Raw genomic sequence first — 13845 nt, 5'->3', positions numbered from 1 at the left:
CTTTCTTCCCTAACTTGAGATGTATTTTACATAAGGGCACGTTCCTCTAGTCCTAGACCAAGCTCTCTAACAACACTCTTTCTCCCCCACCCCTGAATCCAATTCCCCCAGAGGCGTAGCCACCCTGCCAGGTACACAGAGCTGAGGTCACTGGACTGAACACTGCCAAAAATGAGGTTCACTTCCTGAAATAGCCCTTGAACACAGGAGTGAATGGGCTGTGGATTCAGGTGGAATATTTATTAATGCATCAAGCAAACAGGTAGTGCGAGGTGGGAGGTAGGCATGAGGCTGGGTGCTAGGTGCTCAGTAATGACTCAAATCTAAGTCCACAGGTCCTGGGCAGTGGGAGTGGAGATGCATGCACAGAAAAACGGTGCAAGCGCCAGGCGAGGTGGCTCACGCCTAGAACCCCAGCACTTTGGGAGGCTTACTTGAGACCAGGTGCTTGAGACCAGCCTGGGCAACATAGCAAGACCTTGTTTCTACAACAAATTTAAAAATTAGGGCCGGGCATGGTGGCTCAAGCCTGTGAGCACTTTGGGAGGCCAGGGCAGGTGGATCACGAGCTCAAGAGTTCGAGACCAGCCTGGCCAACATGGTGAAACCCCATCTCAACAAAAAATAAAGAAGAAAACTAGCTGGGCATGGTGGCGTGAGCCTGTAATCCCAGCTACTCGGGAGGGTGAGGCAGGAGAACTGTTTGTACCCAGGAGGTAGAGGATGCAGTGAGCCAAGATCGCAACACTGCTCTCCAGCCTGGGAGACAGAGCAAGACTCTGACTCGTGGGGAAAAAAAATATTAAAATTTAGCCTGGCAAGGCAGCGCACGTCTGTGGTCCCAGCTATTTGGGAGGCTGAGAGGGGAGGATCGCTTAAGCCCAGGAGGTCGAGATGGCAACGAGCTATGATTGCACCACTGCACTCCAGCCTGGGCAACAGAGTGAGACCCTGACTCTGAAAAACAAACAATGAAAGAAATGTTGCGAATGGAAATGACAAATGGTGGCAGGAATTGGGCACTCTATGAGACAACAGACACATCCCCGATTGGAGAGTCAGGGACAGGCTCTTAGAAGAAATGGCCTTTATGCTGAGTCAAGTTAACCAGGAGGGATGAAGGGAAGAGGCTCCCAACAGAGGGACCAGTCTGTGCTCAGAGCTCCCAGCATCTGCCCAAGGCCTCCACAGAACAGACTGTTGTGTTTTTGTTTTGTTTTGTTTTTTTGAGATACAGAGTCTCATTCTGTAGCCCAGGCTGGAATGCAGTGGCATTATCTCAGCTCACTGCAATCTCTGCCTCCTGGTTCACCTGAGGCGGTTCTCCTGCCTCAGCCTACCTAGTAGCTGGGATTACAGACGTCCACCACCATGCCCAGCTAATTTTTGTATTTTTAGTAGAGACAGGATTCACTACCTGTTGACCAGGCTGGTCTCGAACTCCTGACCTCAGGTGATCCACCCACCTCAGCCTCCCAAACTGCTGGGATTACAGGCGTGACCCACCGCATCCGGCCTAGACTGTTGTTGAAGCTGGTTTTCTTCTTCTTTCCTCAGTTCTTTTCTTTTACATCTTCCCCCCATCATTGCTCTGCCCATCCGAAGGCTGTGGCTGGCACAGGACAGAACAGAACCTCCTAGCCTCAAGTTCCAAACCCACACTCTCCAATAGCCAGGCTCTCAGATGGGAAGCTTCAAAGCCTTGTGACAGCCTGGCTGAACCTCTCCAGCCTGGGCGCTCCCTCCATTTCCTGCCCCGGAAACAGGCATCTCCTCTGGCCACCTCCCAAAGCCTGTCTGGAAGCCTCAGGCACCCGCTCCTGGAAGCCTGTACGATTCACAACAAAGGGCCTGTCCACCCAGTCGTGCTGAGCACACCCCTATTCCCCCGAGCTCTGAATTGTCCTCTGCCCAGGCTAGGACAACATCTCAGAGCCTTCTGCCTGCTGCAGACTCGGCTCAGCCCAAATCACTCCATGAAACTGGGGTGTGGCATCTGCCTCAAGGAGCATTTCTACAACCTCTGCTGCCTCTACCACAAATGAAACTGGCTCTCACCCACTGGCTCTCGGTGACGGGCACAGTGCGGAGCCCCACAGGGAGTGTGTAGAAGTCAAAGGCCCCAGTGACTTCTGTGCAGTCAGCCGCACCTATGACAGCCAAAGCGCCAGGTGTGAGCGCCCCGACAGCCTGAGCCCCATCTGGCCTGCCCTACAGCAGGAAGACCCCTCGTGCATGCACCCCAGAAGTCGCCTCTGGGCCTGCAGAGAAGCAGCAATCAGAGGCTCTGCCCTTCACTGGCTGGCCCTGGGACCTGCCCTTCAAAATCAGGCCTTCTCCTTGACCAGACGAGGTGGCTCATGCCTGGAATCCCTACACTTTGGGAGGCTAAGGCAGGAGGATCACCTGAGTCCAGGAGTTCAAGACCAGCCTGGGCAACCTAGTAAGACCCCCAACTCTATAAAAAGGATTTTTTTTTTTTGAGACAGTCTCACTCTGTCACCCAGGATAGAGTGCAGTGGCATGATCTCAATTCACTGCAGCCCCTGCCTCCTGGGTTCAAGCAATTCCCCTGCCTCAGCCTCCCGAGTAGCTGGGATTACAGACGTGCACCATCATGCCCTGCAAATTTTCATATTTTAGTAGAGACGGGGTTTCACCATGTTGGCCAGGCTGGTCTCCAACTCCTGGCCTAAAGTGATCCGCCCGCGTCAGCCTCCCGAAGTGCTGGGATTACAGGCGTGAGCCACCATGCCCGGCCTACAAAAAAAATGTTTTTAATTAGCCAGGCATGGTGGCATGTGCCTGTAGTCCCAGCTACTCAGGAGGCCAAGGGAGGAGGATTGCAGCTCAAAGCTGCAGTGAGCTGTGATCAGGCCATTGCGTTCCAGCCTGGGTGACAGAGTGAGACCATCACAAATAAATAAATAAATAAATAAATAAATAAATAAATAAATAAAAAATCTGGGCCTCCCACCAAGGGTGGGAAACATCAGAAAGCTCAGAAAAGCTCAGAGGACCACACCTGCCCGTTCACCTGTCCTGGGCTCCTGCTGAAGCCAGGGCTACCAGATGGGAGCAAAAGACCTCCCTTAAGCAAGTCCCAAACCACCATTACCTCCCACGAGTACAGGTAGGCGGGGTGTTCGTGCATCAGGTACGGCCACCAGAGGTTGGCACCCAGCACCTTCAGCTGGCCCTGGGTCCCAGCCTGGTTGTCCACGACTTTGTTTTCTGATTTCAAAAGACACACTTCCAACTTGAACTGGTTACTGCACTTGACGGAGATCTGGTAATTCACCAGCCCTGCAGGAGGCAAGAGAGACCAGGGCTTAGGGAGGGACATGACCTGGGTCACACAAACAGGAATGCCCCACAATGACCACTCCCAGGCACTCTCATTTGCTTCTGTTGCTTTTTTTTTTTTTTTTTTTTTTTTTTGAGATAGAATCTCGCTCTGTCACCCAGGCTGGAGTGCAGTGGCATGATCTGGACTCACTGAAACCTCTGCCTCCCAGGTTCAAGTGATTCTCCTGCCTCAGCCTCTGGAATAGCTGGGATTACAGGCACCTGCCACCACATCCAGCTAATTTTTGTATTGTTAGTAGAGACCGGGTTTCACCACATTAGCCAGGATGGTCTTGATCTCCTGACCTCGTGATCCGCCTGCCTCGGCCTCCCAAAGTGCTGGGATTACAGGCTTGAGCCACCGTGCCCGGCCCTGAACCAATGCGCCCGGCCCGCTTTTTTTTAATTTAATTTTTTAATTTTTTTTTTTTTTGAGATGGAGTCTCACTCTGTCACCCAGGCTGGAGTGTAGTGCTGCGATCCTGACTCACTGCAACCTCCACCTCTGGAGTTCAGGTGATTCTCCTGCCTCAGCCTTCCGAGTACCTGGGAATACAGGAATGCACCACCATGCCCGGCGAATTTTTGTATTTTTAGTAGAGACGGAGTTTTGCCATGTTGGCCAGGCTGGTCTCGAACTCCTGATCTCAGGTGACCCACCCGCCTCAGTCTCCCAATAGATTAGATATATTATTAACGAATTGCTTCCTTTAACACGCTATTCATTGAATTTTCCAGTAAACCACAATTACTAATTACTCCTGAAATCAGAAAAGAGGTTAAAAAGATTTTATAACAGTATCTTATGAAATCTACTACTTTCAAGTAATAGTAGTTGAATTACCAAAACCCGTCACTCAAGCCAATGACTACAATTAAGATATCAGTAATATTTCCTAGATAAATAAAGTCAATTAATTATATTTGCATCTGGGAAATAGAGAAAGTACATATAAGCCATGATTTTGAAGTCAAAAGAGAGAGAATATTTGGCAAGGAGGGGTGAGTTATAGTATGTAATTATAACATATAGTAGTTTTTTGTATGCTGGTAACTAATTTTAATTTCCTACATTTTTATGTAGATTTCTGCTATTCTTGTCCTATTTTCCTAATCACCTTTCTATATGGATGACTACATAAGTCTGAGAATACCAAAAGAGACAGACACAGAACCAATCGGATTCCTTTCTTCTTGAAGCTTCTGCACAGCAGAAGAAACTATCAACAGAGTGAACAGACAACCTACAGAATAGGAGAAAATTGTTGCAACAATGCATGTGACAAAGATCTAATGTCCAACACTGATAAGGAACTTAAACAAATTTACAAGAAAAAAAAAATCTCATTAGAAAGTGGGCAAAGGACATAAACAGACACTTCAAAAGAAGACACACATGCGGCCAACAAGCATATGAAAAAAAGCCCAATATCACTGATCATTAGAGAAATGCAAATCAAAACCACAATGGCATACCATCTCACACCAGTCAGAATGGTTATTATTAAAAAGTCAACGCCGGGCATGGTGGCTCACGCCTATAATCCCAGCACTTCAGGAGGCCAAGGCAGGCAGATAGCATGAGGTCAGGAGTTCCAGACCAGCCTGGACAACCTGGCGAAATCCCGTCTCTACTAAAAATACAAAAATTAGCCCAGCGTGGTGGCGGGCGCCTGTAATCCCAGCTACTCAGGATGCTGAGGCAGGAGAATCGCTTGAACCCGGGAGGCAGAGGTTGTAGTGAGCCGCGATCATGCCACTGCACTCTCCAGCTTAGGTGACAGAGCGAGACTCTGTCTCAAAAAAAAAAAAAAAAAAAAATATTTGAATTTTGTTTAAATCGCTAACACATACTGGGCATTTAATAACAAAAAAAAGGACATGAGATTGTGATCCTTAGGAGGGTTTGAGAGGCATTTCACTAGGGTTCAACATAGAGCAGTCTGAAACATACTGTAATAATTTAATCCAATGGCTCATCTACAGCACCTAAAAATATTACAGCAGATTCTCATTATTCAGTGTAGTTACGGTCTAGAAAGTTCCATGAACAAATAAAAAGTTAGGTTTCAGCAAGCTACTGGTCACATTTTTGTAAGCTTACCAACACCTACTTTTGTTGTATGTGTGCTTATTTAATATATATTGTTGGCCAGGCACAGTGGCTAATGCCTGTAATCCCAGCACTTTGGGAAGCCAAGGCGGGCAGATCATTTGAGGTCTGGAGCTCGAGACCAGCCTGGCCAACGTGGTGAAACCCCGTCTCTACTAAAACTACAAAATATATATATATATATATATATATATATATTAGCCAGGCATGGTGGCGCATGCCTGTAGACTTAGCTACTTGGGAGGCTAAGGCAGGGGAATCGCTTGAACCCAGGAGGCAGAGGTTGCAGTGAGCCAAGACTGCACCACTGCACTCCAGCCTGAGCAACAGAGTGAGACTCTATCTCAAAAAAAATAATAATAATTAATTAAATGAAGAATAAATAAATAATATACATTGTTCATTCATTAACACTGAACTCACAGCCAATGGCACTACAGCACTCACGCCTGAATGGAGTTTATTCAATGCATGTATTTCCTCTGTAAGACACATCACAGACTTCTTGGACTTGTGAATGCTAAGCAGCACTTCAGCACTATGCTTGGGGGTTAATTTAAATGGCAAAACAACCAACAAACAGTACAAAAACAGGAAAAGCATGGCATTAAATAGACCACAAAAAGGATACCTGACTATTGTATGAGAGCTGAAAAAGAAGGCAGAATATCATCCTGTTCAAACTCAAATTCTTTGACACTCTGCGCAAACACATGACTATGAAAGTGCTGTGAGTACTGATTTGGGGGTTACAAAAAATAGTAGGTGAGTTCACAAATACAAAAGCTGAAAACAAGGAGGATCGACTGTATTTTCGTAGACAATCTAATCTCAGAAGATTTCAATTCAGACAAAAATCATGAGAATTACTGTATTACAAAAGGGCACTAGATAGGGGGAAAAGAGTAAAAATCACAATTAAAACAAAGGTTCAAAATTCTGCAGCAACCATATCCAGTTACACTTTAATATGTTTGTGGCAGACTACATTATTGTTCCCAACTCATCACCCCTCCCTATATCTAAAACCTTTCCCCAAGACAATGCAGTTCCTCCTGCTAGAGATCAGGTATATTTATCTATACTATCAATGTTAGCCATGGACAAGGTATGTGCTTTGGCTGACTGAATGTTAGTGGACATGATAGAAGCAATGGCTTAAAATGTACTTCCAGAACTGGAGTTTCCTTGTGATTCTATCACTGTGACAAAAACACATTCTCAGGTAGTCCACTGATCCAAGGGGGAACAAACACACAGAAATCATACCTAGACTCTATCTGCAGCTTGCAGCCTCACCAAGCCAAGAACAGTCAACTCATGGATATGTTAGCAAAAATAAATGTTTTTCGTACCTTAAGTTTTATATAATTATTGACCTATAGTTAACTGATATACAATATACATTAATCTTAAAATATCATTATCCCATTAAAAATATTTACATTAAAAACTGAGACCACTTTCTTTCCTCCTTTTTTTTTTTTTTTTTTTTTTTTTTTTTAAATTAAGAGACAGGGTGTCTCAGTGTTGCCCAAGCTGGAGTTCAGTGGCTAGTGGCTATTCACAAGAACGATCATCGCACACTACCTCAAACTCCTGGGATCAAGCAATCCTCCTGCCTCAGCTTTCCAAGTCGCTGGGACTATAAGTGTGTACCACAGCATGTCAGCTCTCTCTCTCCTTCTTGACCTAAAGCCTAGCATAAAATTAGCTAAGTAGAATGTTTCCAAAGATGCCTGCATCAGTATCTCCCGTCCCACATAATTTCTGCTTGATTTTGCCATTCACCCATAAAATGGTGGGATCTACCTCCCCTCCTTGCAAATTTGAGCTGGCCCTCTGATCCTGTCTAAGATCTGAAGCCAGATATTAAGGTACTTCATTAATTTCCATGTTTGTCCTCCATGCAACCTAGCAATCAAGCCAGAAGTCAAAACATACTGACATAGTTTGGATGGGTCCCCACCTAAATCTCACCTTGCATTGTAATAATTCCCACGTGTCAAGGGTGGGGCCAGGTGCAGATAACTGAATCATGGGGATGGTTCCCCCCATACTGTTCTCGTGGTAGTGACTAAGTCTCATGAGATCTGATGGTTTTATAAATGGGAGCTCCCCTGCACATGCTCTCTCCTGCCTGCCACTATGTGAGACATGCTTTTGCACCTCCTTGCCTTCCACCATGATTGTGAGGCCTCCCCAGCCATGCAGAACTGTGAGTCAATTCAACCTCTTTCCTTTATAAATTACCCAGTCTCAGGTATGTCTTTATTTGCAGTGTGAGAACAGACTAATACAATAAGTTGATACCAGTAGAGTGGGGTGCTGCTGTAAAGATACCCGAACATGTGGAAGCAACTTTGGAAATGGGTAACAGGGAGAGGCTGGAACAGTTTGGAAGGCTCAGAAGAGGATAGGAAAATGTGGGAAAGTTTGGAACTTCCTAGAGACTTGTTGAATGGCTTTGACCAAAATGTTAATAGTGATATGGACAATAAGGTCCAGGCGGAGGTGGTCTCAGAGGGAGATGAGGAATTTGTTGGGAAATGGAGTAAAGTCACTCTTACTATGCAAAGACACTGCAGGCACTGTGCACCTGTGTTAGAAACGGGCATAAGATAGGCGGGAAAGAGTGAAAATAAGAATTTTTTTCTAGAGTTCCCTAGAGATCTGTGGAACTTTGAACTTGAGAGAGATGATTTAAGGTATCTGACAGAAGAAATTTCTAAGCAGCAAAGCATTCGAGAAGAAGCAGAGCATAAAAGTTCAGAAAATTTGTAGCCTGATGATGCAACAGAAAAGAAAAATCTATTTTCTCAGGAGACTGGGTTGTAGAAATTTGCATAAGTAATGAGGAGCCAAATGTTAATCACCAAGACAATGGGGCAAATGTCTCCAGGGCATGTTAGAGACCCTCACAGCAGACCCTCCCATCACAGGCCAGGAGGCTTAGAAGGAAAAATGCTCTTGTGAGTCCAGAACCCCCTGCTGTGTGCAGCCTAGGAACCTGGTGCCCTGCATCCCAGCTGCTCCTGCCATAGGTAAAAGGGGCCAAGGTACACCTCAGGCCATGGCTTCAGAGGGTGCAAGTTCCAAGCCTTTCAGGTTCTAGGTGGTGTTAAGCCTGCAGATGCACCGAAGTCAAGAATTAACGTTCATGAACCTCCGCCTAGATTTCAGAAGATGTATGAAAATGCCTGGAAATCCAGGCAAAAGTTTGCTGTGCGGGGCAGCGGGGGGCCCTCATGGATAACCTCTGCTAGGGCAGTGTCAAAGGGAAATATGGGGTTGGAGCCCCCACACAGAGTCCCCACTGGGGTACTGCCAAGCAGAGCTGTCACAAAAGGGCCACCATCCTCCAGACCCCAGAATGGTAGATCCACTGACAGCTTGCACTGTGTGCCTGGAAAAGCTGCAGACACTCAATGCAGCCAGAAGGGGGGGCTGTACCCTGCAAAGCCACAGGGGCGGGGCTGCCCAAGACCCTGGGAACCCACTTCTTGCATCACCTAGATGTGACACATGGAGTCAAAGGAGGTCATTTTGGAGCTCTAAGATTTGCCTGCTGGGTTTTGGACTTGCATGGGGCCTGTAGCTCTTTCGCTTTGGCCAATTTCTCCCGTTTGAAACGGGTGTATTTACCCAATGCCTGTATCCCTGTGTATCTAGAAAATAACTAACTTGCTTTTGGTTTTACAGGCTCACAGGTGGAAGGGACTTGCCTTGTCTCAGATGAGACTTTGGACTATGGAATTTTGAGTTAATGCTGAAATAAGAGTTTGGGGGACTTAGGGGAAGGCACGATTGCTTTTGAAATATGAGGACATGAGATTTGGGAGGGGCCGGGGAAGAATTATATGGTTTGGCTCTGTCCCCACCCAAATCTCATCTTGAATTGTAACAATTCCCATGTGTCAAGGGTGGGGCCAGGTGGAGATAACTGAATCATGGAGGCAGTTTCCCCCATGCTGTTCTCATGGTAGTGAATAAGTCTCATGAGGTCTGATGGTTTTATAAATGGATGTTCCCCTGCACATGCTCTCTCCTGCCCACCATGTCTGACTAAATTTTGTATTTTTACTAGAGACGGGGTTTCACTATGTTGGCCAGGCTGGCCTCCAACTCCTGATCTCGTGATCCGTCCACCCCGACCTCCCAAAGTGCTAGGATTATAGGCATAAGCCACCACACCCGGCCTCTTTTTTTTCTTTTTCTTTTTTTTATCTGGAGACTGAGTTTTGCACTCGTTGCCCAGGCTGGAGTGCAATGGTGCGATCTCAGCTCACTGCAGTCTCCACCTCAGCAGGAGAGCAGGAATCTTCAGTGATCCACGGGCAGATCTGCAGCCATTGTGGGCACCTGTTCCTCCCGCGACCTTTGTGCCCACGTCTCTCCCTCCAGTACCTATTGCACGACCCCCCCCACGTCCGCCTCCTGCCATTGCCAGCAAGTGCCTTGCGCGGGTACCTGGCTGCGCTTATTAATCCATTATGGTCGCTCTGTCACTGGTGCCATTATGTGCTCACATGCCCACTCCCTCAGGTTTAGAAGTCGCGTCGCCCGGCAACAGAACAATCTGCTGGCTTAGCCTTTGGCCAAGTTGGCAGCTGGACGAGGACGCTCAGAGCCCAGCTCTCGAGAGTTCAAGTATCCGACAGTTCCCCACTGCTCCCAGGAGCGGTTACCCGGGCACTCTGTGCCCCTCATTCCTGTTTGGGCCAAGGCCGAGGACCTGCGAGTAGGGCTCAGTTGCCTAGAGCCCCTTCAGCCCATCGCCCAGTTCACTTTGCTTGTGGGATCTCCCCGTTGCTCCTGCCCCTGGACTGAGTGGCAGGCCATCCTACAAACACCCGGACACTCAACATCAGTGGTGTCAAGACAACTCTAAGAAGGTTTTCCGTGATCCTGCAAGACCTGTGTTCCATCCTGGTGATTCTGTCTCCAATTTCACTGCACAGGTACCACAGTAAGCCAGTGCTGTGTGCTCCGAATTCCAGGGCATCCCCCAGCTCAGCCACTACACTGAGCACAAGGACTCTGTGGGGCCCAGGAGCAGGTAGTCACCCCTTTGGGGTCCTCAACACCCGGCTGTCCCCAGACTTGTGTCCAGGGAAGATAGTGTTGAGGGCCCTCAAGGAGAGCAGGGCAGGGATGCCTGAGCAGGACAAGGACCCCAGAGTCCAAGAAAATCCTGCTGATCAGAGAACGGTCCCCGAGGTCACCGGGGATGCACGGTCTGCATTTTGGCCCCTGCGGGACAATGGAGGCCTCTCTCCCTTTGTGCCCAGGCCCGGGCCTCTGCAGACAGACCTCGATGCCCAGAGCTCAGAAATCAGATATAACCAGACATCCCAGACATCCTGGACGAGCTCGAGCACAAAACGAAATGCCATCTCCAGCTCCTACAGCTCCACGGGAGGCTTGCCGGGGCTAAAGCAGAGGAGGGGACCAGCCTCATCCCGCTGCCAGCTGACCCTCAGTTACTCAAAGACAGTGAGTGAGGACAGGCCTCAGGCTGTCTCTTCGGGTCACACACGGTGTGAAAAGGCGGCAGATACAGCACCAGGGCAGACACTCGCCCCAAGGGGTGGCTCCCCCAGATCCCAGGCCTCTAGGCCCCGTAGACGCAAGATTCCCCTGCTGCCAAGCAGGCGAGGGGAGCCTTTGATGCTGCCACCTCCCTTAGAGCTGGGGTACCGGGTCACGGCGGAAGACCTGCACCTGGAAAAACAGGCAGCATTCCAGCGCATCAACAGTGCACTGCACGTTGAGGACAAGGCCATCTCGGACTGCAGACCCTCACGGCCTTCCCACACTTTGTCCTCACTTGCAACAGGGGCTTCGGGTGGGCCTCCCCTTTCTAAAGCACCCACTATGGATGCACAGCAGGACAGACCCAAGTCCCAAGACTGCCTGGGCCTAGTGGCCCCCCTAGCATCTGCTGCAGAGGTCTCCTCTACAGCTCCCGTGTCTGGGAAGAAGCAGAGACCACCAGGACCCCTGTTCTCCTCCTCAGATACCCTTCCTGCCACCTCTTCCCACTCCCGGGACTCAGCCCAGGTCACCTCGATGATTCCTGCCCCCTTCACAGCTGCAAGCAGGGATGCCGGCATGAGAAGAACAAGGTCGGCCCCTGCAGCTGCCGCAGCAGCCCCTCCCCCCTCCACATTGAACCCCACGTCGGGGTCACTACTCAATGCAGTGGATGGAGGCCCCTCACATTTCTTGGCCTCAGCCACAGCTGCAGCACGTGCCCAGAGGTCAGAAGTGAGATATAACCAGAGATCCCAGACCACCCGGACCAGATCCTGCCTCAAACGAAATGCCAGCTCCAGCTCCCACAGCTCTACGGAAGGCCTCCCGGAACTAAAGCGGAGGAGGGGGCCAGCCTCAGCCCACTGCCAGCTGGCCCACAGTTCCTCAAAGACAGTGAGTGAGGACGGAGCTCAGGCTGTCTCTACGGGTCACCGCTGTGAAAAGAAGGCAGACACAGCACCAGGGCAGACACTCGCCCCCAGGGGTGGCTCCCCCAGATCCCAGGCCTCTAGGCCCCACATCAACAGTGCACTGCACGTTGAGGACAAGGCCATCTCGGACTGCAGACCCTCACGGCCTTCCCACACTTTGTCCTCACTTGCAACAGGGGCTTCGCGTGGGCCTCCCGTTTCTAAAGCACCCACTATGGATGCACAGCAGGACAGACCCAAGTCCCAAGACTGCCTGGGCCTAGTGGCCCCCCTAGCATCTGCTGCAGAGGTCCCCTCTACAGCTCCCGTGTCTGGGAAGAAGCACAGACCACCAGGACCCCTGTTCTCCTCCTCAGATCCCCTTCCTGCCACCTCTTCCCACTCCCGGGACTCAGCCCAGGTCACCTCGCTGATTCCTGCCCCCTTCACAGCTGCAAGCAGGGATGCCAGCATGAGAAGAACAAGGCCTGGCACCTCCGCTCCTGCAGCTGCAGCAGCAGCCCCTCCCCCCTCCACATTGAACCCCACGTCGGGGTCACTACTCAATGCAGTGAATGGAGGCCCCTCACATTTCTTGGCCTCAGCCACAGCTGCAGCACGTGCCCAGAGGTCAGAAGTGAGATATAACCAGAGATCCCAGACCTCCCGGACCAGATCCTGCCTCCAAGGAAATGCCAGCTCCAGCTCCCACAGTTCTACGGAAGGCCTCCCGGAACTAAAGCGGAGGAGGGGGCCAGCCTCATGCCACTGCCAGCTGGCCCTCAGTTCCTCAAACACAGTGAGTGAGGACGGACCTCAGGCTGTCTCTTCGGGTCACACCCGCTGTCAAAAGGCAGATACAGCACCAGGGCAGACACTCGCCCCCAGGGGTGGCTCCCCCAGATCCCAGGCCTCTAGGCCCCACATCAACAGTGCACTGCACGTTGAGGGCAAGGCCATCTCGGACTGCAGACCCTCACGGCCTTCCCACACTTTGTCCTCACTTGCAACGGGGGCTTCGCGTGGGCCTCCCCTTTCTAAAGCACCCACTATGGATGCACAGCAGGACAGACCCAAGTCCCAAGACTGCCTAGGCCTAGTGGCCCCCCTAGCATCTGCTGCAGAGGTCTCCTCTACAGCTCCCGTGTCTGGGAAGAAGCACAGACCACCAGGACCCCTGTTCTCCTCCTCAGATCCCCTTCCTGCCACCTCTTCCCACTCCGGGGACTCAGCCCAGGACACCTCGCTGATTCCTGCCCCCCTCACACCTGCAAGCAGGGATGCCGGCGTGAGAAGAATGTTTTGTGTTCGAAATTGTTTGAGGGGTTTGGGTTTATTTTTGTTGGTTTTTTCTTTTTTGTTTTTGCTTACATGGGCATCCTTCAGCTTTTAATAATCTGAAAAGCTCTATTTACCCATTGTCAATGTGTATAAATTAATCTGAGTCAATTTTATACAATAAAAGGTGAACTTTTATGCATGAAACAATAATTTAACAAAAAATGTACCGGAAGAAGAATGTTCATTACAAATATAGGAAACATAAATATTACCAAATATTGGCAAGCACTAAAATGTTCAGAAATATAAGTCTACTACAGTTATAGCTCTCTCAAGCAAAAAAATAGCAGAGAAAAACTTAGTTTACCTTAGGGGCTATTTATTTACTTAGGGATTTGTTAAAAGGTCAAATGGGGTCACACAGAATACTAAGAAGAGCTGTTCACCCAGGCCTCACTAAGAACTCTTCTTCATTCAGTAGCTATATAGTAACATGACAACTGCTCCTACGACCCAAAGAGGAACTACAGCAACTACTCTTCAGCATCTGTTGCTCCCAACTCTGCTTTGCAATTATATGACTCAAGCATTCTGGCTCCGTTAACTATTACTGCTGTTACTCCCAATTAAATTCCCTCTAAAAAATAAAAATTT

The 13845-nt window shown here is 49.3% G+C and overlaps 1 pseudogene across 2 annotated transcripts in view, besides 6 other annotated features; it reads right to left on the bottom strand.

Annotated features, from left to right (window-relative positions):
* Positions 1-13845, bottom strand: part of GUSBP1 (GUSB pseudogene 1) — a 129860-nt pseudogene that overhangs the window by 94746 nt on the left and 21269 nt on the right. The window contains exon 4 of one of the 2 annotated variants that reach the window (NR_027028.3): positions 3119-3306. The exons of the other annotated variant lie outside the window; for it this stretch is intronic. The product of NR_027028.3 is annotated as a GUSB pseudogene 1, transcript variant 3 (transcript). The remainder of the gene's footprint in view (positions 1-3118; positions 3307-13845) is intronic. 2 annotated transcript variants of the gene reach the window in all.
* Positions 8127-8753: an enhancer, noted in NCBI's record as "NANOG-H3K27ac hESC enhancer chr5:21485983-21486609 (GRCh37/hg19 assembly coordinates)". NCBI's record gives its function as "activates a minimal SCP1, AML or CMV promoter by ChIP-STARR-seq in naive H9 embryonic stem cells {active_cell/tissue: H9 hESC(naive)}" and the evidence as "EXISTENCE:reporter gene assay evidence [ECO:0000049][PMID:30033119]".
* Positions 8754-9380: an enhancer, noted in NCBI's record as "H3K27ac hESC enhancer chr5:21485356-21485982 (GRCh37/hg19 assembly coordinates)". NCBI's record gives its function as "activates a minimal SCP1, AML or CMV promoter by ChIP-STARR-seq in naive H9 embryonic stem cells {active_cell/tissue: H9 hESC(naive)}" and the evidence as "EXISTENCE:reporter gene assay evidence [ECO:0000049][PMID:30033119]".
* Positions 8786-9168: a silencer, noted in NCBI's record as "fragment chr5:21485568-21485950 (GRCh37/hg19 assembly coordinates)". NCBI's record gives its function as "represses an EF-1alpha promoter that drives an FKBP-Casp9 reporter gene in an ReSE screen in HepG2 liver carcinoma cells {active_cell/tissue: HepG2}" and the evidence as "EXISTENCE:reporter gene assay evidence [ECO:0000049][PMID:32094911]".
* Positions 9381-10007: an enhancer, noted in NCBI's record as "H3K27ac-H3K4me1 hESC enhancer chr5:21484729-21485355 (GRCh37/hg19 assembly coordinates)". NCBI's record gives its function as "activates a minimal SCP1, AML or CMV promoter by ChIP-STARR-seq in primed H9 embryonic stem cells {active_cell/tissue: H9 hESC(primed)}" and the evidence as "EXISTENCE:reporter gene assay evidence [ECO:0000049][PMID:30033119]".
* Positions 11890-12517: an enhancer, noted in NCBI's record as "H3K27ac-H3K4me1 hESC enhancer chr5:21482219-21482846 (GRCh37/hg19 assembly coordinates)". NCBI's record gives its function as "activates a minimal SCP1, AML or CMV promoter by ChIP-STARR-seq in naive H9 embryonic stem cells {active_cell/tissue: H9 hESC(naive)}" and the evidence as "EXISTENCE:reporter gene assay evidence [ECO:0000049][PMID:30033119]".
* Positions 12518-13145: an enhancer, noted in NCBI's record as "H3K27ac-H3K4me1 hESC enhancer chr5:21481591-21482218 (GRCh37/hg19 assembly coordinates)". NCBI's record gives its function as "activates a minimal SCP1, AML or CMV promoter by ChIP-STARR-seq in naive H9 embryonic stem cells {active_cell/tissue: H9 hESC(naive)}" and the evidence as "EXISTENCE:reporter gene assay evidence [ECO:0000049][PMID:30033119]".

The sequence above is a fragment of the Homo sapiens genome, chromosome 5 (assembly GCF_000001405.40).
Source record: "Homo sapiens chromosome 5, GRCh38.p14 Primary Assembly".
Taxonomy (NCBI): Eukaryota; Metazoa; Chordata; class Mammalia; order Primates; family Hominidae; genus Homo; species Homo sapiens.
The sequence above is the reverse complement of the archived record's forward strand: the minus strand, read 5'-3'. Positions and strand labels throughout refer to the sequence as shown.